This window comes from Homo sapiens, chromosome 11 (genome assembly GCF_000001405.40).
Source record: "Homo sapiens chromosome 11, GRCh38.p14 Primary Assembly".
Lineage (NCBI taxonomy): Eukaryota > Metazoa > Chordata > Mammalia > Primates > Hominidae > Homo > Homo sapiens.
In genome coordinates this window covers 113,845,108-113,872,827 of record NC_000011.10, presented here as the reverse complement: position 1 = coordinate 113,872,827, position 27,720 = coordinate 113,845,108, and the positions used below count along the sequence as shown (strand labels likewise).

Sequence of the window (27,720 nt, the reverse complement as noted above, 5' to 3'; positions counted from 1 at the left end):
AGATTCCTGTATTTTAATCAATTCTTGACTTCGATAGCAGCAAAATTTACTGTTATTACAGGAGAAACAACTTGAAGTCAGTTTGGTTCTTATAAACCTGTCATTCTTGGCAGCTGTACTGAGGGTTCACATCACACATTCTTTATGTCAGCTGAAGCCTTATAAAAACCTGCCAGTTTCAGTGAAAATTTAATGCCCTTTTTGCTTTCTCTTGATTTATTGACCTTTCGTTTCCTTTTGTCTCATTAACTGATTTTTAAAACATCAGTAAGTCAGTGATTGGTTCCACAACTCTCATGCCCCTCTGCCCCCAAATGCAAACAGTATTTTTTTTTTTTTTTGAGACGGAGTCTCGCTCTGTTGCCCAGGCTGAAGTGCAGTGGCGCGATCTCTGCTCACTGCAAGCTCCGCCCCCCGGGTTCATGCCATTCTCCAGCCTCAGCCTCCTGAGTAGCTGGGACTACAGGTGCCCACCACCACGCCCGGCTGATGTTTCTGTATTTTTAGTAGAGACGGGGTTTCACAGTGTTCGCCAGGATGGTCTCGATCTCCTGACCTCATGATCCGCCCGCCTCGGTCTGCAAACAGTATTTTTAAGACTTACTGGCAAATAGCATCTTACCAGGCGAGATCTCTCCATGTGTTCTGTTTCATCAAAGAAATTAAATCAATAGTAAAATGAAGCAAGTACTTAACAAGGAAAATAATGCTGGTAATAGTAATAGCTAATGCTAATTGAGCATGCACTATGTGCCAGACTCGGTGCTCAGAACTTAACATAGCATTCTCTCAGTACTTACACAACTCCATGAAGTTTCTATGAGAAGGCTTATACTTGTTAAGTAATTCGTCCAAGGTCACCCAGTGAGGATATGGTACAGTTGGAATTGTATCTAGGCAGTTCTGACCCCAAGAGCCCAAGGCGCCCCTGGTCCTATCTCATAGTTGATGGGCCCATTGCCCTGGATCACAGACTTTCCACTACTCTTATAATGCCTTTTCTAGAACTCTCCTAATGTTTTAAACTTCCAGTCCTCCCTACAGTCTTTCTAAATAGATAATCTTCTTTTCTACTTGACTGAGCTCGCTGATGTCTAAAAAGAGCTCCCTGCCTTCTGTTTTGTCCCCCTCTCCCTACGCCATCTCATCTCTTTTCTCTTATTTCAGTGGAAAAGGTTCCCTTCCTTTTTCCCCCTTTCATTTCTTAGAGATAAACCTAGATTAATGGTTTTTACTAGGGAGAGATTTTGTAATCTAGGAAGCATTTGGCAATGTCTGGAGACTTTGATTGTGACTCTGGAGGGAGGATGCTACTGGAATGTAGTGCGTAGAAGCCGGGAATGCTGCTAAACATCCTGCAGTGTACAGGAGTAAGCCCCTCTAAACAGAGTTATGTGTAAATTGTATAAAATAGTGCTGAGCTTGACAAACTCTGATCTAGATGATGTCTCTCTTCTCTTTCTATTATGTCCCTTCTCCTTAGTCCTAGTCTAACCCCCAGACACCTTCACTGTCTTCTCCCTTGCTACTCACATTATGGTCCACAGACCAGCAGCATTCACATCCCCTAGGATTTAGACATGCAGAAAGTTGAGTGTGCTAGAGCCAGCTTGCTCTGCCTCTCCAGCTGATTTTGTACATCTCTTTCCAGCTCTGTGTTCAATGACCTCGTGTTGATAACTGTGCCAAGGTGGGAATATTTATACCAAGGAAACAAGCATACACTGCCAATCAGCATACCACTGCCTGTACCCCCACTCTAGACCTATTCAATCAGTTTCTGCCTTTTGACAAGATTCTTGGGTGATTCATTTGCATATTACATTTTGAATTTGCATTTTCCATTTTACCGTGCACTTGTCCTCTATCTTGAAACCAAATAACAACAACAAAAGTGTCTATTGCCCAGTCCAGCTGTTGTCTCCACCTTCCTCCTCTTGTTTGCTTTTGGAACAAAGTTTCTAACCCCACCTGTTTCATTTCTAAAACATTTTTCCAGTGACAATGTATTCAGACTCAATATACAAAACTTGGAAAAGACAGACTTGAGCAAGACTAACTCTTAGCTGACAGGAGATTGAGGAAGGTTGGTTCCCAGATTCTGCTACAGAGCTTAAGGTGGCAATAACAGCTTCTGCAAAAGCCAAATAATGAGATGGCCGTGTGGACCAGTCTGGGCTCCAGCAAATGGCTGATTGTTCAGAGGCCTGCAGAGGGACTGACTAGGCAGCAGCAGGTTAGGTTGAAAGGCAGTGAGTGGTTTTATGTAATCAGAATCTGCTCAGCAGCCTACTTTGCCAAGGCAGGATCTCTCCCTCTGTCACCCAGACTGGGGTGCAGCGATGTGATTATAGCTCACTTTGGCCTTGACCTCCTAGGCTCAAGCGATCCTCCCACCTCAGCCTCCTGAGTAGCTGGGACCACAGGCGTGCATCACCGCACTTGGCTGTTTTTTTAATTTTTTATAGAGACGAGGTCTTGCTATGTTGCCCAGGCTGGTCTTGAACTCCTGGGCTCAAGCAGTCCTCCTGCCTTGGCCTCCCAAAGTGTTGGGATTACAGGCATGAGCCACCACACCTGGCCCCCTCATACTTTTATTATTTTATGCTTTTATGATCCCTCATTACCACTTTTTTGCTGTTACTTTTTTCTTGTTTTGTTTTTTGAGACGGAGTTTCGCTCTTGTTGCCCAGGGTGGAGTGCATTGGCACGATCTTGGCTCACTGCATCCTCCGCCTCCTGGGTTCAAGTGATTCTCCTGCCTCAGCCTCCCGAGTGGCTGGGATTACAGGCATGCACCACCATGCCCAGCTAATTTTGTATTTTTAGTAGAGACAGGGTTTCTCCATGTTTGTCAGGTTGGTCTTGAACTCCTGACCCCAGGTGATCTGCCCACCTCAGCCTCCCAAAGTGCTGGGATTACAGGCGTGAACACCTGGCTCCAAATCTACATTTCTAATCCTGAGTTGCAAATGACTTCTATACTCTGTTTCCCAGTGCTTTTTGAACAGGTCTGCTTGAATATCAACCTCCTTGGCTATAAACGTTTGCTTCATACTTATTTTCCCAGGGTTGTTATACTAGGCATGGGAATGTACACTTGTATTACTCGTGTCTGCCATATGCTATGTACCACCCTAAGCACTTTTCCATACATTTTTATTTACAAAAACCCAGCAAGGTGTGAACTATTACCCTATTACTGATGAGGAAACTGAGATGTCTTGTTTGTTTTTTGAGATAGGGTTTCACTCTGTCACCCAAGCTGGAGTGTGGTGACACCGTCAAGGCTCACTGCAGCCTTGACCACCCAGACCCAAGCAATCCTCAGACACTTGAGTAGCTGGGACCACAGGTATGCACCACCACACCTGGCTACTTTTGTTTTATTTTATTTTTTGAGACGGACCGCAGTCTGTTGCCCAGGATGGAGTACAGTGGCGTGAGATCAGCTCACTGTAACCCCCGCCTTCCGGGTTCTATTGATTCTTCTGCCTCTGCCTCCCAAGTAGCTGGGATTACAGGCACATGCCACCACGCCTAATTTTTGTATTTTTAGTAGAGACGGGGTTTCACCATGTTGGCCAGGCTGGTCTTGAACACCTGACCTCCGGTGATCCGTCTGCCTTGGCCTCCCAAAGTGCTGGGATTATAGGCGTGAGCCACCGAACCCAGCCTGTGGTTAATTTTAAAAGTTTTTTTAGCAATGGGGTCTCTCTGTGTTGCCCAGGCTGGTCTCAAACTTATGAACCAAGTCATCCTGCCTCAGCCTCCAAAAGTGCTGGGATTACAGGCATGAGCCACCGTGCCTGACCTCAGATGTTAGTATGCCTTATAAGGGCCTCATATGAGATTTATTTTATTTATTCCTTTTCTTTCTTTTGTCTTTTTTTTTTTTTTTTGAGACATGGTCTTACTCTGTCACCTAGGCTGGAGTAGTGCAGTGGCTCTATCATGGCTCACTGCAGCCTCAACCTCCTGGGCCCAAGCAATTCTCCTACCTCAGCCTACAGAGTAGCTGGAACTACAGACATGTGCCACCATGCCTAGCTAATATTTTTAGTTTTTGTAGAGATGGGGGGTCTCTTTATGTTGCCCAGGCTGGTTTTGAACTCCCGCGCTCCAGTGATCCTCCCGCCTGAGCCTCCCAAAGTTTTGGGATTACAGGCGTGAACCATGGTACCTATCTCTTTTTTTCTTTATTCGTATGAGATTTTAAACTGAAGTCTGTTTGCTTCTATCTTACAGATGAGAAATGCAGCTTATGACCATGATTGAATTATAAGTAGCAGAGCTGTGACTTCAAGCCATTCTGACTTGAAGCATAACATTTCTCCGACTTTAGTACAAGCCTTTCTAAAACCAAAGTTTCTGACTTACCACTTGACTATGTAGCACTTTAATAATTTTAATAACTTTTCATTGAACCCTCATAGGCACTCTATGAAATAAAATTTAGTATGAGCAGGAAGTAGAATTTGCAAAGTGACACAGCAAGTAAGTGATAAAACCAAAACTATAACACAGGATATCAGTATTTTTACTGTAAACTCTAGAGGAGTTTAGTTGAACAGGCAAGTCCCAGTATTTTTCATTTCTATTGCATTTCTTCATTTTGCTAACAATTTATTTGCAGTACTTCCTTTGATAGTCATACAGGGCTGTCAAAGCTTTTGGTGTACTTCATTTTCCATTCTGGAAACTGATGCTGAGGAAGATTGAGATTTGCCAGGAGGCTGATGTGTGCTGGAGTCTGGGCTGCATGGCACTATTTCCAGCGTCTAGGCTTTCTACGTAAAACAGGGGTCAAAATATCAGACACACAAAACCAAACTAAAGATCTGCCTCAGTAAGTACCAGCTGCATGCTACATGATGGCTGGTAGGCACTTTAACCCTAAGAAGATTTTCTAAACAACATTTTCTTTTTCAATCTTCTTGCCCAAGTTAGTACTTTCTTGTGTCCCCTCCCTCCCTCCCTTCCTCCCTTTCTTCCTCCCTCCCTTCCTCCCTCCCTCCCTCCCCCCTTCCTTCTTTCCTTTTGTGTGGGGATGTGTATACAGGTTTCCTTATTCATTTGTTTTTTCATAGAGTTGGGGTCTAGCTATGTTGCTCAGGCTGGAGTGCAGTGGCTATTCACAGGCATGATCGTGGTGTACTACTGTTTGAAAATCCTGGGCACAAGTGATCATTCTGCCTCAGCCTGCTGCAGAGCTGGAACTACAGGTGTGTGCCACTGCACCCAGGTGATTTTTTTTTTTTCAATTGAGGCAAAATTTATATAACATAAAATTATTTTAAAGTGGGGCTGGGTGAGGTGGCTCACTGAGGTCAGGAATTCAAGACCAGCCTGGCCAACATGGTGAAGCCCCGTCTCTACTAAAAAATATAAAAATTAGCCAGATGTGGTGGTGAGCACCTGTAATTCCAGCTACTTGGGAGGCTGAGGCAGGAGAATCACTTGAACCCGGGAGGCAGCGGTTGCAGTGAGCGGAGATCATGCCACTGCACTCTAGCCTGAGTGACAAGAGTAAAACTCTGTCTCCAAAAAAAAAAAGTTCAAGTGTACAAGTTCAGTGACATTTAATATATTCACAATATTGTGCAATCACCAATTCCGTCTAGTTCTAAAACATTTTCATTACCCTGAAAGAAAACTTTGTAACCATTAAGCAGTCACTCCCTATTCCCCCATGCCCTCCACCCCTGGCAATACCAATCTACTTTCTGTCTCTAGATTTACGTATTAGAGAGATTTCATGTAAATGGATCATGCAATATGTGACCTATTATGTGTGGCATCTGTCGTTTATTGTAATGTTTTTGAGATTTGTTCAAGTTGTAGCATGTATGAGTTTTTCATTTTAATCACTGAGTAATATTCCACTGTATGTATAGATATGTTTTGCCTGTCCATTCTTCCATTGACGGACATTTGAGTTATTTACACCTTTTGGTTATTATGAATAGTTCTGTTATGAATTTTCATATACTTGTATTTGAGTACCTGTTTTCCCTTCTTTTGGGTATATACCTAGAAGGAATTGTTGACTCATATGGTAATTCTATGTTTAACTTCTTGAGGAACTGCCAGACTGTTTTCCAAGGTTGCTGGGGAAGTTTTATATTCCCACCAGCAATACACAAGGGTTCTAGTTTTTCTCTTTTCTCATCAAACACTTGTTATTTTTTGTTTTTGTTAGATAACAGTCATCCTAATGGGTGTGAAGTGGCATCTCATCATGATTTTGATTTGGCCATGTTAATGTTATGGCTAATGTTAAGTGTCTTCATAAACTTATTGACTATTTATATATCTTCTTTGGAGAAATATCTTTTTAAGTTCTTTGTCCATTTTTGAATTGGGTTGTCTCGTTTTTTGGTTGTTGACTTAAAGGGAGTTCAAAGAGAGTTTTTTATATCATCCAGATGCTAGACTCTTACCAGATAAATGATTTAAAAGTATTTTCTCCCATTGTCTTTTCACTTTCTTGATAATTTGTACACTGTGTATTTCTTTTTTCTTTTTTTTTCCCCAAGACAGAGTCTGGCTCTGTCACCTAGGCTGGAGTGCAGTGGTCTGATCTCGGCTCACTGCAACCTCTGCCTCCTGGGTTCAAGTGATTCTCTTGCTTCAGCCTCCCAGGAAGCTGGGATTACAGGCGCGTGCCAACACACCTGGCTAATATTTGTATTTTTAGTGGAGATGGTTTCACCATGTTGGCCAGGCTGGTCTTGAACTCCTGACCTTAGGTGATCCACATTGGCCTCCCGGAGTGCTCGGATTACAGGCATGAGCCACCGTGCCCGGCCAGCACTGTATATTTCTTGTTGGATTTCTTGATGTATGTGTTTATTTCTTGAATTTGTATACCGGTTGTCTTTTCACTTTCTTGATAATGCCCTTTGATGCAGAAAAGTACATCAGCCCACTTCAGTGTCCCAAGTAGCTGGGACTACAGGTACACACCACCATGCCTGGCTCAAAAGTGTTATTATTTTTTTCTTTTGTTGCTTGTGCTTTTGGTGTCATAGCTGAGAATCCATTGACAAATCCAAGGTCATGAAGACTTATCTCTGTGTTCTAAGAATTTTATAGTTTTAGTTATTTATTTAGGTTGTTGATCCATTTTGAGGAATTTTTGTGTATTGTGTGAGGTAGGGGTCCAGTGTGATTCTTCTGCTGTGGATATCCAGTTGTACCAATACCATTTGTTGAAGACATGATTTTTCCCCCATCAAATGGTGTTGGCACTCTGGTTGAAAATCAGTTGACCACAGATACGAGTTTATTTCTGGATTCTCAGTTCTATTCTGTTGGTCTATATATCTGTCCTTATGCCAGTACTACACTGTTATGATAACCGTAGCTTTGGATTAATACTAAGTTTTGATATAAGAAGTGTGAGTCCTCCAACTTTGTTCTTCTTTTCAATGTTGTTTTAGTTCTTCCAGGTCCTTTGAAATTCTGTGTGAATTTGAGGATCAGCTTTTCTGTTTCTGCAAGAAAGGCCAAAGCATTGCAGCTCTTTTAGAATTTGTCTAGCAGGTTTTCTGGTTTTCACTAGAGTTCCCCGCAACCCCCAGCCACACGCACACACAAAGGACCATTGGAATTTTGATAGGGATTACATTGAACTTTTGAATTGCTTTGAGTAGTATTGCCACCTTCACAGTATTAAGTCTTCGTGGCCAGACGCAGTGCCTCACGCCTGTAATCACTTTGGGAAGAGGCCGAGACGGGGGGGATTGCTTGACCTCAGGAGTTCAAGACCAGCCTGGGCAACGTGGTGAAACCTCACCTTTACCGAAAATATGAAAAATCTTAGTTGGGCTTGATGGCACACATCTGTGTTCCCACCTACTTGGGAGGCTGAGGAGGGAGGATCGCTTGAGCTTACAGGGTGGAGGTTGAGGTGTACTCTAGCCTGGGTGACAGAGACAGACCCCATCTCCAAAAAACAATACTGTCTTCATGATGGTTAAGTTAATGTGTCAGTTGACTGGGCCATGAGGTATGTATGCAGACATTTGGTCAAACATTATTCTAGGTGTGTCTGTGAGCGTGATTCTGGATAAGATTAACATTGAATCAGTAGACTGTGTAGAGCAGTTTGAACTCCCTAATGTGGGTAGTGGGCCTCATTCAATCAAGACCTGAATAGAACAAAAATGCTGAGTAAGAGGAAACTTTGCTTGCCTGACTACTTGAGCTGGGACATTGATTTTCCTTGGTCCTGGCACTGGAACTTAGACAACCATCAGCTCTTTTGGTTCACAGGACTTCAGACTCAGACTGGAACTTACACACTCAACTTTCCTGGTTCTTGGGTCTCATACTTACACTAACACTACACCGCTGGTCTCCTGGTTCTCCAGCTTGCTAACTGCAGATCTTGAGACTTCTCAGTCTCCGCAGTCATGTGAGCCAATTCCTTATAATAAATTTCACCTCTTATATTTATCTCCTTTTGCTTCTGTTTCTCTGGGGAACTCTGACTAGTACAGTTTTCCAGTTCATGAACCTGGATGTTTTTCAATTTATTTAGGTCTTTAACTTCTTTCATCAGTTTTTTTACCTTTTTTTTGAGACAGAGTCTCACTCTGTTGCCCAGGCTGGAGTGCAGTGGTGAGATCTTGGCTCACTGCAGCCTCCACCTCTGGAGTTCAAGGGATTCTCCCGCCTCAGCCTCCCGAGTAGCTGGGACTACAGGCACATGCCACCATGCCTGGCTAATTTTTTGTATTTTTAGTAGAGATGGGGGTTTCACCATGTTGGCCAGGCTGGTCTCAAACTCCTGACCTCAGGTGATCCATCCGCCTCAGCTTCCCAAAGTGCTGGGATTACAGGCGTGAGCCACCGTGACCAGCAATTTTTTTTTTCGAGACGGAGTCTCGCTGTGTCGCCCAGGCTGGAGTGCAGTGGCGCGATCTCGGCTCACTGCAAGCTCCGCCTCCCGGGTTCATGCCATTCTCCTGCCTCAGCCTCCCGAGTAGCTGGGACTACAGGCGCCGGCCACCATGCCCGGCTAATTTTTTGTATTTTTAGTAGAGACAGGGTTTCACCGTGTTAGTCAGGATGGTCTCGATCTCCTGACCTTGTGATCCGGCCGCCTCAGCCTCCCAAAGTGCTGGGATTACAGGCGTGAGCCACCGCGCCCGGCCTAATTTTTTTTTTTTTTTTTGAGACAGGGTCTCACTCTGTTGCCAGGCTGGAGCGCAGTGGCACAATGTTGGCTCACTGCAACCTCCATCTTCTGGGCTCAAGCAATCCTCCCACTTCAGCCTTCTGAGAAGCTGGGACTACAGGCACGCGCCACCACACCCGACTAATTTTTGTGTTTTCTGTAGAGATGTGTTTTGCCACGTTGCTCAGGCTGGTCTCGAACACTTCAGCTCAAGCAATCTGCCCGCCTCAGCCTCCCAAAGTGCTGGGATTACAGGTGTGAGCCATCGCACCCAGCCTCAGCAGTGACCCACTGCGCCCGGCCCAGGTTTTTTACCTCTTTGGTCAAATTTATTCCTAAGTATTTTATTCTTTAGGATGCTATTGTAAATGTAATTTTTTTTTAATTTCCTTTTTGATTTCTTATTGCTGTTTTATAAAAACACAACTGAATTTTGCCTGTTTACCTTGAAGCTGCTGAATTTGTTTACCAGCTCTGGTAACTTTTTTGCAGAATCTTTGGGATTTTGTATATATAGGATCATGTCATTTTGTGAATACTGTTTTACTTTTTTATACTTTATAATTTAGGTGCCATTTATTTTTTATTCTTGCCTGGTTGCTCTGGCTTAAACTTCCAGTACAGTGTTGAATAGCAGTGGTGAAAGTGGGCATCTTTGTCTTGTTCCTGATTTTAGGGGTAAAGCTTTCAGCCTTTCACCATTGAATATGATCTTAACTCTTGGTTTTTTTATAAAGGCCCTGTATCATGTTGAGGGAATTACCTTTTATTCCTAGTTTTCTGATTGTTTTTATTATGAATGTGTGTTGGATTTTGTCAGATGTTTTTCTGTATCAATCAAGGTGACCATTGTTTTTTTTCTCCTTCATTCTGTTGGTGTGGTATATCACATTGTTTGGTTTCCTTTTATGTTATTGGCAATGGCATTCTCTTAGGCATCCATTGCAAATGTATGACTAAGCTTTCTCTCTTCATTCTTTGAGATGTTCAGAGTATGTCCTACTTTGATGTTTTGCCTACCAGCATCCTGCCTCTCTCGTCACAGTTCGTTTACTCAGTAGCCCTGTAACTCAAGCTTTCTTTTCCTAGTGTCATCCCACGTTGAACCAGTTGTTCACGTGGGCTAGATTAATCCACTTAAATGCCTTTTCTTCCTTCGTATATCTTCCCTGCTGAGGAGCCTGCAGTGATTATCCATTGTTCATCAGATCAAACCTAAACTCTTCCTGACATTTAGAACCCTTTGTAATCCAATCCCACATCACCTCTCTGATCTCTGTTATTTATTTATTTGAGACAGAGTCTTGCTCTTGTCGCCCAGGCTGGAGTACAGTGGCGCAGTCTCAGCTCACTGCAACCTCCGCCTCCTGGGTTCAAGCCATTCTCCTGCCTTAGCCTCCCAAGTAGCTGGGATTACAGGCACCTGTCACCACACCCAGCTAATTTTTGTATTTTTAGTAGAGATGGGGTTTCACCGTGTTGGCCAGGCTGGTCTTGAACTCCTGACCTCAGGTGATCCGCCCGCCTCAGCCCCGTAAAGTGCTGGGATTACAGGCGTGAGCCACCACACCCAGCAATCTCTGTTATTTATTAAAAATAGAAACTACACACGAAGACCCAGCTAGTAATAACTTAAAATTTTACCATTGCTATATTTCTAAAACTGTAAGCATGTAAATTTGATTTCTCATATCTTTCCCTGATATTTTCCCAGTTTTTCAATTAGCCCTACCAATATGTTGTTAAAAATTGTATTTTCCTTCATTTTTGGAGATGTGTTCGATATGTTTGTCAGCCTCATTTCTCATATTTAGTTGGAACATGTATTCAAAGAAATGAAAAATATTGTCTTAATGTATTCTAAAATAAGGAAAAAGCAAGGTATAGGACATTATGTATCATATGAAAAAATATATTCATGTGCATAGACAATTTCGGGAAAGATAACAGAAACTGTTAATGGTAGTAGCCCCTGGGAAATAGAACTAGGTCGGGAAGAAGGTGATTTCCTTTTCATTTTATACCCTTTTGTACTATTGGAATCTCTTAGTACATGTGAAGAAAGAGATGGAAAAAATTTAAAAAGTAAATAATGATTAATTCCTTTTTTTTCTTGTTTTTAAGTCCCAGTTTTAACCCCTCTACATGATATAATAGTGGCTAAATTTTAAACACTTTTAATGGTTTTTAAAAACTTTAAGCCAGTTAATAAACTCAAACAGGCATTTTCATCATGTACTGACATTTGCATCATTCACAAAAATTATCAAGTAGTCTATTTCAGGGAATTTAGCTGTGTCCACAGAAAGCTGCTGTTTATCTTTTTTAGACAGCCATATTCTTATGGCTACTTTAGGTTTCTATTCCATGAATAAATTGGATCAGCAGGGCATTGTTGCTGGAAGAAAAACTGAAAAAATACCAAGGCTTTTGAGGGCCATTCCTTGTTTTATGGAGGTTGGAAAGGTTAGCAACCATCTCTGTTGTCCAGACAGAGGTGGTTTTTTTTTTTTTTTTGAGGTGTAGTCTCGCTTTGTCGCCCAGGCTGGAGTGGAATGCAGTGGTGCGATCTTGGCTCACTGCAACCTCCACCTCCAGGTTCACGCCAGGTTCTCCTGCCTCAGCCTCCCGAGTAGCTGGGACTACCGGTGCCTGCCACCTCGCCCATCTAATTTTTTGTGTTTTTAGTAGAGACGGAGTTTCACTGTGTTAGCCAGGATGGCCTCGGGCTCCTGACCTCGTGATCTGCCTGCCTCGGCCTCCCAAAGTGCTGGGATTACAGGCATGAGCCACCAAGCCCGGCCCTTATTTTTTTTTTTTTCGAGACACAGTCTTGCTCTGTTGTGCAGGCTGGAGTGCAGCGGTGCAATCTTGGCTCACTTCAAGCTCCGCCTCCCAGGTTCAAGCAATTCCTCTGCCTCAGCCTCCCGAGTAGCTGGGACTACAGGTGCCCGCCACCATGCCTGGCAAATTTTTGTATTTTTTTTTTCTTTAGTAGAGATGGGGTTTCACCATATTGGCCAGGCTGGTCTTGAACTCCTGACCTTGTGATCCGCCTGCCTTCACCTTCCAAAGTGCTGGGATCACAGACATGAGCCACTGCACCTGGCCAGAGTTTTTGGCATTGATACTATATGTTTTCTTTGACTCTTCAGTTGGTTTTGTTTTTGTTTTTTGTTTTTTCTTTTTTTTTTTTTTGCTTCCCTTGGGTACTTAAGTTTTATTTTATAATTGCGAACCAGATCTTTAGCTTTGGAAGGAATTTTATTAGGCACACCTTGGTAGTTCTTTGGAGTAAGGGAACATTTATTAATTATTTACTTAGTTGTAAATTTAGAAATGTCTTTGTAAGACTAGACAATTGATATCAGGAAATATGTGCATCAGAATGATGAAAATAGCATCACTGTTTGAAGGAATGGAATAACCTATAAAGCTTCTCATCACAATGCTAAATTAGGAGTTTTAACGATTAGTAATGAAATATTTTGCATTATTTCATCAGAGAGTTTTAACCTAGTTACTGTGGGATCAGGCCAGGTATTGATTGTTACAGAAACTTGATAGCTTAAGGTTTTTAGTGTCTGAATAATCTTGTTAATTGCTGATTGTGGGTGAGTTGTTTTTGCTCTAAGAAAATCTCCTTCCTGAGAAGTGGGCTAGATTGCACCAAAACCACTGAGTAGCAGTGAGGTCAAAAAGCTTGAGTTCCTTCCTGGTAAAGGTTTGTGTTTGCCTGTCTTTCTTTACTGCCTCTGGGCAAGAAAAGGGAGTACTTTTTGTTTTGTGAAAACAATGTGAATTTAGCTCAGGAAATGCAAACCTGTTGGCTCTTGCAAGTTATTTGACTTCATTGTGAGAGGAGTACAGGCTTTGTCTTGTCTCCTTGTTGGGTGTGTACTTTACATATAGCAAGGTAGAGTGAAGTTAATATTTAAATCCTCTTTCTGTGAAGTTCAGGTGAAGTGAGTTAGTAATATGGTAGGATCCTGATGGGTTTAGTGTTACTGTAAAATTAATATTTATATAAATATATATATATAGTACGAGGATTTGGAGTGCGGGTTCTGTTAAGAACTTTAGCTAAATCTTTACAAGACTGGGTCATGTCATAGCATTTGTATATGTATATAAATAATGCATGTGAAATTTGTTATTCATACCATACTCTTTACATTTTATTTTTATTTTTAAATTATGGAACACTTCATGAATTTGCATGTTATTCTTGCACAGGGTCCATGCTAATCTCTGTATTGTTCCAATTTTAGTTAATGTACTGCTCAAGCAAGCACTTAGACCCTTAATAGCTATGTGTTTTATAGCTATCTTTGATTTAGCTTTTAATTCAAGTCATTTGATGATAAATAGATTTTGTAAACCTTAATTTCCTAACGTGTGCAATGCCTGCCTTTGTTATTAGGATTACATGCATGTAAGGTGCCTGTTTCCTGTCATATGTTAAGCCAGGTATGGTGATGTGTGCCTGTAGTCCCAACAACCTGGAAGGCTGTGGTGGGAGGATCCTTTGAGTCCAGCAGTTAGGCCAGCCTGGTCAACATAGCGAGACCCCCATTTCCAAAAAGAAAAAAAAATTAAAGTAGTTGTTCAATAAATGTTAGTTCTCATTATTATCAGCACTGTCCTATGGATGATTCAAATTAGGCAGTGTACTGCATGATTCTTCCTTTAAAGAAGGCAAGAATTTCATATTTAAAACAATTAGAGAACAGGCCTGGCCCGGTGGCTCATGCCTGTAATCCCAACACTTTGGGAGGCCGAGGTGGGTGGATCACTTGAGGTAAGAGTTTGGGACCAGCCTGGCCAACATGATGAATCCTCATCTCTACTAAAAATACAAAAATTAGCTAGGCGTGGTGGTGGGTGCCTATAATCCCAGCTGCTCAGGTGGCTGAGGCAGGAGAATCGCTTGAACCCAAGAGGTGGAGTTTGCAGTGAGCTGAGATTGCGCCGCTGCGCTCCAGCCTGGGTGACAGCAAGACTCCGTCTCAAAAAAAATTAAAATAAAATAAAACAATTAGAGAACCACATGATGAGGAATATCAAGTGAAGACAGGGAGCCACATTCAGTCACAGGCGTATTCATTTCCTTAACATGGGAGATGAGAAAGGGGAGAGAACAGTATGGGCCAGAGTTCTTAGAAGGACTTCATATGGAGGAGGTAAGACAAATATAACCCCTGAATGTAGTTGGCATACCATAGTTTAATAATGTAGGTGGTATTACTAGTGATTTTAGGAGCAACAGTCTATGCATGAGAGAATGAGTTTGCAGTAAGGAACTGAGAGGAGAAAAGGTGGAACAGGCTAAGGGGGGATCAGGTAATGGTCTTTGAATGACAAGATGAGGAATTTGGATTTGAATTTCCATGTAGAACATTGTTGTTGGAGCTATACAAAATTATTTTACATAGTTGTCATCTCTACCCAGTAGCCTTTAAAAAAAGGTCACTAGGCCAGGTGCAGTGGCTCACGCCTGTAACCCCAGTACTTTGGGAGGCTGAGACAGGTGGATCACTTGAGGCCAGAAGTTTGAGACCAGCCTGGCCAACATGGAGAAACCCCATGTCTACTAAAAATAGGAAAACTAGCTGGGCGTGGTGGTGGGCACCCGTAGTCCCAACTACTCGGGAAGCTGAGGTGGGAGAGTCACCTGAGCCTGGGATGCCGAGGCTGCAGTGAGCTAAGATTGTACCATGCTATTGCACTCCAGTCTGGGCCACAGAGCGAGACCCTGTCTCAAAAAAAAAAGGAAACGAAAGAGTTTATTTTCCTTTCCTGATTGTGTTATCCCAGATATATTGATGTCCACTGCTACCTATTACAAAATGGAGAAAGAGGAATGGTAATATTACAGTGTAACTGACTTTAATCCAAGGTCAAATGTAAATAATTAGTAAATTAGTATTTGGATACTATATTTCATTGATTCACATTTATTTGGCATTCTGAGATCTCTGAGATCAAGATGTTCTTAACATTTTTACTATCATCCAAGTAGCAGATGTGATGTTGTCATTGTCTGCACTTGTATGAACCTGGTCATAGCTGTTACTATTGTTATAACAACAGTTGACAGTCTGTTAGTACCACATGGTTTACTTGCCATTGCGTATGTCACTTAAAAATTTACACTGTGATTCAACATTGAGATTAAAACAAAACAAAAAAACCAAAAAACCTGTGTATGAAGAAAGGCATGGAAGCAGAATGGCGGGGTATAAATTTGATTTTATATGAAGCAAAATATTTACCTTTGGAGGAATGTTTACAGTTTCAGATTTTCTTGCAAAGCTACAGTCAAGTGCTTTATGCAACCCAGAAGGGAAGATAGCATAAATGTATTATGCTGTGTTAAGTTTTGTTGCCGAGAAATATGTGAAAGAATTGCCTATCACATGCCAAGCAGTGCACCTGGAAGCAGGGGAAATTGCTGTATTCCTCAACATAAATGAAAAAGTTCAGAGATTTAAGAAGCTAGTGTGACTTATTTATATGTCTCCCAGGACTGCCGTGAAGACATTGTGTCATAGTTCAAGTGGCAGCAGTTTTCCTTTCTTTGTTTTCAACCGATGGCACCTTAGATTTAGTCAAATGTAATATTTACCTCTCTACTTCTGATGATAGCTGGTTTAGAACAGATTGCACTACTAAGTAATCAAACTTGTGATTGTATAAGGACAAGCAGATTTTTAAAATAAACTTGTTAGGGTGCAAAGATCAAGGTCAAAATATAAAAATAGGCTGGGTGTGGTGGCTCACACCTGTAATCCTAGCACTTTGGGAGGCTGAGGCAGGAGAATCGCTTGAACCCGGGAGTCGGAGGTTGCAGTGAGCCGAGATTGCTCCATTGCACTCCAGCCTGGGCGACACAGTGAGACTCTGTCTCAGAAATAAATAAATAAATAAAAATAAATAAAACATACAAGAATAAGATATTTGCGTTTTTTTGCATTAGATAGGTATTCTTGCCTATCTTTTTGTCTTCTCAGATACAGCGTGGTATAGTGCATCCCTTATCAGCAGTAACTTTGTGTAAAGTTAATCTCTCTGTGCCTCAGCTTTTTGTAGGACAGGCGTAATACCTATGTCATAGGTCTGTTATGAGGGTTCAGTGAGTTAAATTAGTTAATACTTGCTAAGTGTTTATAGCAGCACCTGGCTAAAAGTAAGCAGTATATGTTAGCTATTACTTTTTACTGGATTATTTTCTCTGAATCATAAATGTTAATTTTTATACAGAATAATTCCCAATGAAGATGGGATTATCCCATTGTTACCTTCTTGACGCTAGTTTGGTATTAATATACTACTGATTCCCCCTCTCGATTATTCCACCCTTTTTTGGGTATATTGATGTTGATCTTTTAGAAAATTATGTGTGATTTGTGTGAGATACATAGATTCATACCGCTTTTATACAGTAAAATCAAATGGAATTAGAATTAGTTTAAAACAACTAGTATTTAATTTTTCTAAAAATTACATGCTTGCGATTTTAGTTTTTGCTCAGGCTGAATCTGGATACCTTTTAGTATGATAATCACTCTCCCAGTGCACAGGCAATGACTGGAGTTGACAAGACTCATAGCGTGAAAGTCTGCTGGTCTCAGCAGGGTAGGATTCCATTTGTAGCCTATGACTATAGTCTGACTACAGCAGAACGACTGTTGGTGCTTCTTTGAGGACTTTATTTATTTATTTATTGAGACGGAGTTGTGCTCTTGTTGCCCAGGCTAGAGTTGCAATGCCGCGATCTTGGCTCACTGCAACCTCCACCTCCTGGGTTCAAGCAATTCTCCTGCCTCAGCCTCCTGAGTAGCTGGGATTACAGGCACGTGCCACCACGCCCAACTGATTTTGTATTTTTAGTAGAGACGGGGCCATGTTGGTCAGGCTGGTCTCGAACTCCCAACCTCAAGTGATCTGCCCACCCTGGCCTCCCAAAGTGCTGGGATTACAGGCATGAGCCACCATGCCCGACCTCTTTAGGACTTTAGAGGGATGTTTCAGTTAGTTATTTCTAGTTGTGTAATACTTTAGTGTTGCATTGGGCCCACAGCTGTTGAAGAACATAAGATACTGTTTCTATTATAGCTGGGAGTAAATGTAGGCTATCTCTCTGAGACATACTACTAACTTAATTTAAGCATAACCTTAGGAATGGTATAAATTAGATTTCTTGTTGCTGAATTAATTTCGAACTACTTTGTTTTCAACATTCATCTAAAAAGATCATTGTGTCTCAAGTTGGGCCAGCCAGTTGTTTAGATTGAGCTGTACTTGCAAATCGGTGTTTTGTATTGTCTTTGTGTAAAACAGGATAAAATGATAGAGTGAAGATGTTAAGGCTGAAGGGGTTGTAAACTGATTTTGTGTTAGCTGGAAGTTAACAATTTAGGTTTTTCCATGATTTAGGTTAATGAAGAGAAAACATTTCATACTTTATACCCTTTGAAATTATGTATTTAATTGAGAAAATTCTAGCTTTAGCTGTACTTTTTAATTAGTCAAACACAGAGTTTTAAATATGTTGGTGTTATCATTGGTTAATTACATGATTGGAAACTTATTGTCAGTGAAAAATGATACACACTAATGGCATGTGCAGGAAAGCTTAAAATAGCACATCTTTATATCCATGCAAATTCCCCGGACTCCTTATATGCCCTACTTAATGCACTGCCTACCAAAAGAAAAACCTGGAGAACTTTTAAGTGTCCATTAAGGCTAGAATATTACATTTAAATGTTTTATATATTTGTAATTTTACTGTCATCTATTTCTTTCGTAAGTACCAAAGGTATTTCCATGATTGAACTTTTAAAAGAGAAATAGATTTGGCATTTCAGAATATTTCTGACAGCCAATACCTTGTTTCTTGGAGCTTGTTGGTTCTTTAGAGTAAAAAAATGCAGGGCCGTTTGCATTGGCCCACACCTGTAATCCCAGCGGACTTTGGGAGGCCTAGGCGGGTGGATCACGAGGTCAGCAGATCAAGACCAGCCTGACCAACAATGTGAAACCCCGTCACTACTAAAAATACAAAACTTAGCTGGGCGTGGTGGCCTGTGCCTGTAATCCCAACTACTCGGGAGGCTGAGGCAGGAGAATCGCTTGAACCTGGGAGGCGGAGGTTGCAGTGAGCCGAGATCCGGCCACTGCACTCCAGCCTGGGCAAGCCTCAGGCCTGTTTATCCAAGATGCTTTTAGTTATTCTTTAAATGTACCCAGGTTTACTTTCTGACTGACATGTTTGTGGTTTTTTTGTTTTGCAAATATAGAGCTGCCAAATGCTGTTAAATCAACTGAGAGAAATCACAGGCATTCAGGACCCTTCCTTTCTCCATGAAGCTCTGAAGGTTGGTTTCCAGATCTCTGTTAGTCAGGAGGCTTTAAAGCAGCTGTCTATATTATAGTTATGTCAGTTCAAGCTATTTCTATTCCCAAATTAAAGCACATATAGGGACAGAAGCTCTACAGGTCAAATGACTGACCCAATGTCTTCAACATGTAAATTATAAGGGGCTGGGGGAGATTTGTGGTTCGGGTAACCCTGCAGGGTATAAAAGAGATTTAAGAAACATCAACCAGTTGCACTGTTTAGGCCTTATATTTCCTGATCCAAACCAGCAAACTAAATAATATTTGAGTCAGGGAAGTTTGAACTGGTTATCTGATATTGAAAAAACCTGTTGTTATTCTTAAGGTATGTATATATATATACTTTTTTTTTTTTTTGAGATGGAGTCTCACTCTGATGCCCAGGCTGGAGTGCAGTAGCACAATCTTGGCTCACTGCAGCCTCTCCCTCCCGCATTCAAGCTGTTCTCCCACCTCAGTCAGCCTCCCAAGTAGCTGGGATTACAGGCATGCGCCACCACACCTGGCTAATTTTTGTATTTTTAGTAGAGACGGGGTTTCACCATATTGGCCAGGCTGGTCTTGAACTCCTGACCTCAAGTGATCCACCCGACCTGGCCTCCCACAGTGTTGGGATTACAGGCATGAGCCACCACGCCGGGCCATGGGTTATATTTTTAAAAGATATGTTCTGAAATGTTGACCAGTGATAAGATGGTTAGGGTTTGATTCAGAATATCTACGAGAGTATAGGAGGTTTAGAGAAAATAAGAAAGGTTATGACTAAGTGACTAGGTAATTGTTGAAGATGAGTGATAGGTACATGGGGTTCTGTTATTCCCTTTCCTGGTATATATGTTAGAAATGTTTCCTCATAAAACATTAAAAACAAGAATGATCACCACTAGAAAACAGGTAACTGCGTGGCTTTTTTTTTTTTTTTTTTTTTTTTTTTGAGACAGGAGACAGGATCTCACTCAGTTGCCTTGCCTGCAGTGCAGTGGTGTGATCTCGGCTCACTGCAGCCTCTGCCCTCTGCCTCCTGGGCTCAAGCGATCCTCCCACCTCAGCCTCCCTAGTAGCTGGGACTCACGCCTGGCTAGTTTTTGTATTTTTGGTAGGGATGGGGTTTTGCCAAGTTGCTCAAGCTGGTCTCCAATTCCTGGGCTCAAGCGATCTGCCCGCCTTGGCCTCCCAGTGTGCTGGGATTACAGGCGTGTGAGCCACTGCGCCTGCCCTGCTTGGCATTTTTATTGTAGGGCTGACTTCATTTAGAATGTCTATGTTAATTGCCAGCCCCCTTTTTTGACACATCGTGCTTTAGACTGTTCAGAGAAATCATGAGTAGTAGTATCCGAAGCAATGGGAACAAATCTCCATCAAGATTTCACTTTTGTTTGGGTGTTGTGGGAAGTCAGAGCATGGAAACTCCCTCCTGTAATGAGGCATTTAATAGACGCTTCAAGCACATTAGACCTACTGTCCACCATAGTCTCATAATTCTACCCTAGAATTATGCCTGAAAGTACTCAGTGTGTCACCAGGGTAATAAAGTTAATACTCAAAACTGGTTTTAAATTCTATGATTACTTTTGAAATTTCTATTGTCTTTTTCTCCCATAGGCCAGTAATGGTGACATTACTCAGGCAGTCAGCCTTCTCACTGATGAGAGAGTTAAGGAGCCCAGTCAAGACACTGTTGCTACAGAACCATCTGAAGTAGAGGGGAGTGCTGCCAACAAGGAAGTATTAGCAAGTAGGTACCATATATCCTGTCTTGGTCCTTTGCTGAACTAGCAGAAAATAACAAACCAAGTATATGTGAGTTCCCTGTCAATCACATCAGCCCTTTGAAAATAATAGTAATAACAGCTTATTACTGAGCTATTGCTATGTGGCAGGCACAATTCTAAGCACGTAAAAAGTTCTGGCCGGGTGCAGTGGCTCATGCCTGTAATCCCAGCACTTTGGGAGGCCGAGGCAGGCGGATTACGAGGTCAGGAGATCGAGACCATCCTGGCTAACACGGTGAAACCCCGTCTCTACTAAAAATACAAAAAATTAGCTGGGTGTGGTGGTGGGCACCTGTAGTCCCAGCTGCTCGGGAGGCTGAGGCAGGAGAATGGCATGAACCCGGGAGGCAGAGCTTGCAGTGAACTGAGATCGCACCACTGCTCTCCAGCCTGGGCGACAGAGCAAGACTCCGTCTCTTAAAAAGAAAAAAAAAGTTTCATTTGTTCATTTACTCATTGTTTAGCATTTATTTAGTGAGGACCAACTATGTGCCAAGCACTCTTGAAGCCCTGCCTGCATTTAGCTTGTTTTTTAGTGGGAGAAGATCAACAAGTAAATAAATTATTAATATATTAGAATGTGATAAATACCATGGAGAAAAAGGACAGAAGAAAGAAATGAAAAAAAGAGTGCTGGGGACTGTATTTCCAATTGGATGGACTTTTTTTTTTTTTTTTTGAGATGGAGTCTCACTCTGTCATCCAGGCTAGAGTGCAATAGCGCGATCTGCGCTCACCGCAACCTCTGCCTCTGGGGTTCAAGCCTCAACCTCCTGAGTAGCTGGGATTACAGGCGCCCACCACTACGCCTGGCTAATTGTTTGTATTTTTAGTAGAGACGGGGTTTTACCATGTTGGCCAGCTGGTCTTGAACTCCTGACCTCAGGTGATCCACCCGCCTCAGCCTCCCAGAGTGCTAGGATTACAGGTGTGAGCCACTGCTCCTGGCTGGGATGGACTTTTAAGAATGTGCAGGGGAGGTGAGGGAGTAAGTCATTTGAGGCCCTAAGATGGGAGTGCACCTTGGCTTGCTCAGGGAACAGCAAGGAGGCCAGGGCTAAGGCTTAGTGAGTGAGGAGGGCCGAAAGGGATGGGGCCATGGAAAGAGAAGGAGGTGGATCATTCAGAACCTTCCTAAGTACTAGCTTTTGCTGTGAGTTAGGTGGGTAGCCTTTGAAGAGTTTGGAGCAAAGGAATGATATAAACTGATTTCCATTTTCCATCACTCTGACTGTGGTGTTGAGAACAGAATGTGGGGGAGGAGGTAGTGACAAGCATGGGTCAGATTAGGGAACCCAGGCCAGGCTGCTGTGGTGGAGGGTAAGCAGTGCTGGCATTCCGGCATATATTATTTTTAAGGTAAAGGCAGTAGGATTTACTTACTGAGGAGGTAGGGTTGTGTGAGAGAGAGAGGAGTTAAAGGTGACTCAAAAATTTTTTTCCTAAGCAACTGAAGCATTTAACCAAGATGGGAATCACTGTAGGTGGAGCAGATTTGAGATGGTAGATGAAGAGATCAGTTTGGGGAATACTAAATTTGAAATGCCTGTTAGACATTCACGGCAGAAGTGTCAGAAAGATGGTGGAGACCCAGGTGCACAGTTCAGAGGAGAGGTCCAGGCTGGAGGTAGGTGGACTTGGAATCGTAACCTATAAAGGCTCTGTAAAGCTGTGAGACTGAGGAGCTCTCCAAGGGAGTGGGTATAGGGGAAAGAAAAGGTTCTGCAGCTTAAGCACTGGTTGCTGCCTATGTTCAGAGGTCTGGGGAGGTGAAGAGTGCCCACGGAAAGCCAGGAGAATGGGACTCTGGAAGCCACGGAGGCTTCTGGGAGGAGAGACCAAGGAGAACCTTCTGGAACCTTCTGGGAGGAAGGCGAGGTGGTGTTAATGGACATTTGGGCCGTTAACAGTTTTGAGCTATTCTGGATGATGCTGCTGTGAGTATTCTCATATGTTTCTCTTGGTACACACTGCAACTTTTTTCGGTCAACATTGTTCTTTTTGAGACTCACCCATGCTGAGGATTATAACTGTAGTTCATTCATTTTCACTGGTGTGTAGTATTCCATGGTCTGAATATATACCACATTGTATGTATTTGTTGATTGACTTTGGGGTTGTTTTCAAGCTTTTGCTATTCAAGCCTGCTGTGAGCTGTTCGGATTCATGCTGCTTGTCCTTGTATGCGAGAGTTTTTTTAGTGTATATATCTAGTGATGTAGTTGGTAGGTATTAAGATACGCTTATCTTCAACTTTATAGGTAATGACAGTCTTTTCCAAAATAATTTTTTACCTATTTATACTCTCTTTAACAGGGCTTGAGAGTAACCATTGCTCTCAAATTTGTTATCTTAGATTGGGAAATTGTCACCCTTCTCCTGTGAAATGCTACCTCAGCTTCCCCTCATGGGTCTTACAGATGCTAATAAAAACATTAGGTTAATTAACAAAAGAATGGGGAAGGGGAGAGTCAAACGGCTCACTCCAGGAAGGTGGAAATTTTTAAATGGTTCTATTGTGGTATTTCTTTAGCACTGAAAGCATTTGCATGGTCTGTTGGGATAGTAAAACCCAGTTCAGAGTCAGTGCCTATACCTGTCAGGACCCATTTGTAGTCCCCTAGGGTTGCCAGCATCAGTCTCACTGGCCAGCAGCGTTCAGGGCCTTGCCACCAGGGAATCTCCCCATAGCTGTCGGCACTATCTTTCTCTTCCTGGCAGACAGAACAGTTCTTATTGGCGTTTTGTTCTTGAGAGGGTGGAAAAGGAACATGTCTAGACTCAGCCCATCTCTGCACTGTTGCAGTACCCCCATATCAACACATCTAAGGGATTTCTTCTGGTTGGCATCGACATGTCCTACTTTAATGCGCCCTTCAAATTTCCATAGGGCCATGCCTCATACGGACATCCCTTTAATAGGCCAGGTTTCCATTGCTCTCCTGCCTGATCATGTGACCACTGGCCACTGCCCATAAGTGAGTAAAAAGCCTAACACGGGCTTTTATCACTGTTCAATTCTTCCATCACTGCTAGAAAAACAACATGCAATCAACACATGCTGCTGATTTGTTTTTACCTTCTTTGATCCCATTGGCGTCCTTCCTTCCAAATAGGATGTTGTCCATTCACCTTGGAACTGCCATCTGCAAACCAAGCAGCTCTTTATTGGTCTATTGGGAGCTGTTTATTGGGAAACTGTCAAAGTGTGGATAGGATCCAGCAGTTCCTCACACAATTCCAGAGTCAGTCCTAGGGGAAAAGAGGCTTTCTGCTACCTGGGGAATGCAAAGACCTCCTTGCATTTTCCAGGTAGCAAGAGCCTGTATAAACCATTTCCATTGTATTATGGAACTCTCTTGGGCACTGCCATCCTCACTGAAGTGTTTCTCTGACATCCGCCAGCAAGACAGCATGAGTATTTCAGGTTTCAAGATTATTTTATGTCCTCAATTATAGGGGTAGCTTCAATTAATGTCTCATAGCAAGGTAATAAATGCCCCTCAAGTGGTAATTCTCTAGTCCAAAGTCTCAGGAGTCATCTCTGGGAGGCACTCACAGGCTTTTGCCATAAGCCCTGGTAAACGCTCCGCAATCAGTTTGTCCCTACCAGCACTTCAGCTTCAATTCTCTGTTGTGTAGGCTCAGGGAATCTTTCTGGTTCCCATTTAGCATGTCTAATTATTATTGCTTGAAGGACAAGTTTACATGCCTTCTGTTTTACAGGAGTAGGTAGAGGGAACATTCTCCAGGCAGATACAGTATCCATCCCCATAATACAATCAAGTAGAAAAGATGGAACCACTTCACATTGAAGCAGCTTCAGATATAACAACTCGCCTATAAAATTTTATCCTAATTCCATCAACACTTACTTTCCTAAGTATAGCCTCCATTAGGACTTTATCAACAGGTTTTGAAATCACAGTGCATTGTGCTTCTGTGTCACGAAGCCCCAGAAAGGTTTCTACTCCACACCCTGACCCCTTCACCACTGGTGTACATAAGGCTTTGGGTCCCCAGCAAGGGATTGAGCCAAAGTACTCTTGGCTGTTTGTCAGTCTTTATCTTGATTAACCTGCCTCAACATTGCCCCACACAATTGTTGATCATCTTTCTCTTTGTGGTCTCTGCCTTTCAGCTTGTAAAGTTTCTCCAAACTGGGGTAAATGCAAGAAACTTGTTTGAAGCCCTTTAATGTTGGTTAATCAGCAGAGTTCCCTTTGGTCCACCCACCTTTGGTAGTGCTGTATTAAAATGTTTAATCAGTATGTTTAATTGAAAGACTGTAATTCCCCACTGATCTGCAGTATCAATTCTGTGTTATCTCAAAATTTCTTTTTCCCTTTAGTTTCACCCCATCAGTGTTTTCTTTACTCACTTCCTTAATAATCCTTTAAACATTTCCACCTTTGTCCTTTGACTTTTCCCATCTGCCTTTCACCATTTTCCTGTTAATGAACCTGTTGTTTTTTTATTAGCATCTGTGAGACCCATGAGAGGAAGTTGAGATAGCAAATCTAATAAGGCTTCCAGAACTGTTTGTCAGTTTTGCTACAGTCATGTTGTATGAGGGGTCCACACTGAAGGGGTGTCCTTAACCAGCATGACCTGGGTAATGGGCATATTCAGTGAGTGAATATCCCTGTCATGATAAAGCCAGTGTCTATTTCACTGAGTATCCATTTTCAGTTCTTTTGTGTATATACCTAGAAATAGAATTGCTGGGTCATATGATAATTCTATATTTAGCTTTTTGGGTAACATTTCTAAAAGAGGACTGTTTATTTTTTAAAACTGCAACATTATCACACTAAAAATAATCCCTTAATATCATCAGTAATCCCTTAATCTCATCAAATACCCCATGTAGAAATTTCCCTGGTTATCTCATTAACAGTGTTGGCAGTTTTTGTTAAGAACAATGATCCAAATAAATTAGAACATTAAGTATGTTTGAAGTGTCTTTTAAGACTCTCTTTATTTATAAATCTCCACCCCGCCCCCCCACCCCCGTCCCGTTTCTTGCAGCTTAATATCCAAAGAAATCAAGTCCTTTGTTATGTCAGTTTTCACACATTCTGGAGTTTGGCGATTGTATTACTGTGGTATCTTTCAATGGATTTTTCTGTCTCCTGTCTTTCCTATAAATGTAGATGCTTATCTGGCATGACTGTGTCATCGGTAGTGTTGTGTATATATCTTCTATTTTGTTACATTGAGAAGCATATAATGTCTGGTTGCCCTCTTTTGTGTTGTTAAAATCGTAATTGTTTTTAGGTATTGTCAGGTTAATTTATCTATTATGAAGTTTCTCACTTAGCATTTTCAGCAGCCATTGATGATTGTTACCTAGATTCATTATTTTGGTAAAAATAAATGGAAATAGAATGGTAATATTCTATCATAATTATGGTAATTGGAATAGTTATAGTGATAATTGGATTATTTATTAATTTATTTATTTTTGAGAAGGAAGCTCGCTCTGTCACCCAGGCTGGAGTGCAGTGGTGTGATCTCGGCTCACTGCAACCTTCGCCTCCTGGGTATAAGCTATTCTCCTGCCTCAGCCTCCCGAGTAGCTGGGATTACTGGCACACGCCACCACACCCAGCTAATTTTTGTGTTTTTGGTAGAGACTGGGTTTCACCATATTGGTTGGCCAGGCCGGTCTCAAACTCCTGACCTCAGGTGATCCGCCTGCCTCAGTCTCCCAAAGTGTTGGGATTACAGATGTGAGCCACAGTGCCCAGCCTGATAATTGGATAATTTATTACTTGAAATTATTATTTTAGTAAAAAACACATTACATAAAATCTAAGGATATCTCAAATATTCGATTTTTAAATACTTTATCCATTCTTAAATGTAGAGTTCAGTAGTGTTAAGAATAGTCAAATTGTTGTGAAACAACCCCCAGAATGTTACCATATTGCAAATCTGCACTCCATACCCAGCCCCTGGTAACTACCATTCTGTTTTCTGTTTCTATGAATTTGACTACTTTAAATACTTCATATAAGTGGACTTATACAGTATTTGTCTTTTTGTGACTGGCTTATTTAATTTGGCATAATATCTGTCTTAAGTTTCATCCATGTTGTAGCATGTGACAGTATTTCTTCTTTTTTCCAGTCTTTTTTGGTAAAACATACAGTTTGCCATCTTAACTACTTAAATGTACAGTTCAGAAATATTAAATAAATTCATATTGTTGTGCAACTGTCACCACCATCCATTTCCAAAACATTTCACTTACTTAGTATGCGTTGAATAGTAACCCCCATTTTTTCTGTCCTCCATTCTACTCTTTATCTCTGAATTTCTAAGAACCTCGTATAAGTAGAAATACACTGTTTGTCCTTTTGCAGTGGGCTTATTTCACTTACCAATGTCTTCAGACTTCATGTTACAGTATGCCTCAAATTTCTTTGCTTTTTAAGGTTGAGTAATACTCCATTGTATGTATATGCCATGTTTTGTTTATCCATTCATTAATGGACATTTGGGTTGTTTCCACCTCTTGGCTCTTGTGAATAGTGTTGCTGTGAACTTGGATGTACAGATATCTCTACAAGACCCTGTTTTAGTCCGGGCACTGTAGCTCATATCTGTGATCCCAGCACTTTGGGAGGCTGAGGCAGGTGGATAGCTTGAGCCTAGGAATTCAAGACCAGCCAGGGCAATATGGTGAATCCCTGTCTCTACAAAAGATAGAAAAATTAGCCAGGTGTGATGGTGTATGCCTGTAGTCCCAGCTACCTGGGAGGCTGAAGCAAGTAGATCCCTTGAGCCCTGGAGGTTGAGGCTACAGTGAGCTGAGATTGTACCTACTGCCCTCTAGCCCTGGTGACAGAGTGAGACTCTCTCAAAAAAAGACCCTGCTTTAGATTCTTTTGGATACCCAGAAGTAGGATTACTGGTTCATACGGTTGTTCTATTTTTAATTTTTTGAATAGCTTCCATACTGTTTTCTGTAGCAGTTGCATCATTTATTTTATTTTATTTATTTATTAATTTTTTTTTTTGAGACAGGGTCTTTACCTTTCGCCCAGGTTGGAGTGCAGTGGCGCGATCTCAGCTCAGTGGAGCCTCCACCTCCCGGGTACAAGTGATTCTCGTGCCTCAGCCCCCTGTGTAGCTGGGACAGGCATGTCCCACCACGCCTAGCTAAGTTTTGTATTTTTAGTAGAGACGGTGTTTCACCATGTTGCCCAGGCTGGTCTCGAACTCATGACCTCAAGTGATCCGCCTGCCTTGGCCTCCCTGAGTGCTGGAATTAAAGGCATGAGCCACCATGCCTGGCCGTATTTTATTTATTTATTTTGTTGTTTTTTTTTTTTTTTTGAGAAGGGT

General features: G+C 41.9%; 1 protein-coding gene, 1 non-coding gene and 1 pseudogene across 52 annotated transcripts in view, besides 4 other annotated features; 2 read left to right on the top strand and 1 right to left on the bottom strand.

Moving 5' to 3' along the window:
• USP28 (ubiquitin specific peptidase 28) overlaps positions 1-27,720 on the top strand; it is a 77,698-nt gene that overhangs the window by 2,745 nt on the left and 47,233 nt on the right. For 28 of the 51 annotated variants that reach the window (NR_174609.1, NM_001400791.1, NM_001400790.1 and 25 more), the window contains 2 exons: positions 18,493-18,570; positions 20,195-20,327. The exons of 11 other annotated variants lie outside the window; for them this stretch is intronic. Coding sequence is in view for 23 of the 40 variants with exons in the window: in NM_001400791.1 (NP_001387720.1) it covers positions 18,493-18,570; positions 20,195-20,327 (211 nt within the window). In the remaining 17 variants the exon portion in view is untranslated. The remainder of the gene's footprint in view (positions 1-18,492; positions 18,571-20,194; positions 20,328-27,720) is intronic. 12 more of the 51 variants (NM_001400801.1, NM_001400788.1, NM_001400793.1 and 9 more) reach the window with 2 other exon arrangements.
• On the top strand, positions 7,515-7,576 carry LOC124902821 (U7 small nuclear RNA). The gene has a single exon (XR_007062998.1). It is a non-coding gene; the product is annotated as a U7 small nuclear RNA (small nuclear RNA).
• RNU6-1107P (RNA, U6 small nuclear 1107, pseudogene) lies at positions 13,379-13,482 on the bottom strand (annotated as a pseudogene).
• Positions 21,005-21,544: an enhancer, noted in NCBI's record as "H3K27ac hESC enhancer chr11:113722006-113722545 (GRCh37/hg19 assembly coordinates)". NCBI's record gives its function as "activates a minimal SCP1, AML or CMV promoter by ChIP-STARR-seq in primed H9 embryonic stem cells {active_cell/tissue: H9 hESC(primed)}" and the evidence as "EXISTENCE:reporter gene assay evidence [ECO:0000049][PMID:30033119]".
• Positions 21,545-22,085: an enhancer, noted in NCBI's record as "H3K27ac hESC enhancer chr11:113721465-113722005 (GRCh37/hg19 assembly coordinates)". NCBI's record gives its function as "activates a minimal SCP1, AML or CMV promoter by ChIP-STARR-seq in primed H9 embryonic stem cells {active_cell/tissue: H9 hESC(primed)}" and the evidence as "EXISTENCE:reporter gene assay evidence [ECO:0000049][PMID:30033119]".
• Positions 22,086-22,626: an enhancer, noted in NCBI's record as "OCT4-NANOG-H3K27ac hESC enhancer chr11:113720924-113721464 (GRCh37/hg19 assembly coordinates)". NCBI's record gives its function as "activates a minimal SCP1, AML or CMV promoter by ChIP-STARR-seq in naive and primed H9 embryonic stem cells {active_cell/tissue: H9 hESC(naive and primed)}" and the evidence as "EXISTENCE:reporter gene assay evidence [ECO:0000049][PMID:30033119]".
• Positions 22,627-23,168: an enhancer, noted in NCBI's record as "OCT4-NANOG-H3K27ac hESC enhancer chr11:113720382-113720923 (GRCh37/hg19 assembly coordinates)". NCBI's record gives its function as "activates a minimal SCP1, AML or CMV promoter by ChIP-STARR-seq in naive and primed H9 embryonic stem cells {active_cell/tissue: H9 hESC(naive and primed)}" and the evidence as "EXISTENCE:reporter gene assay evidence [ECO:0000049][PMID:30033119]".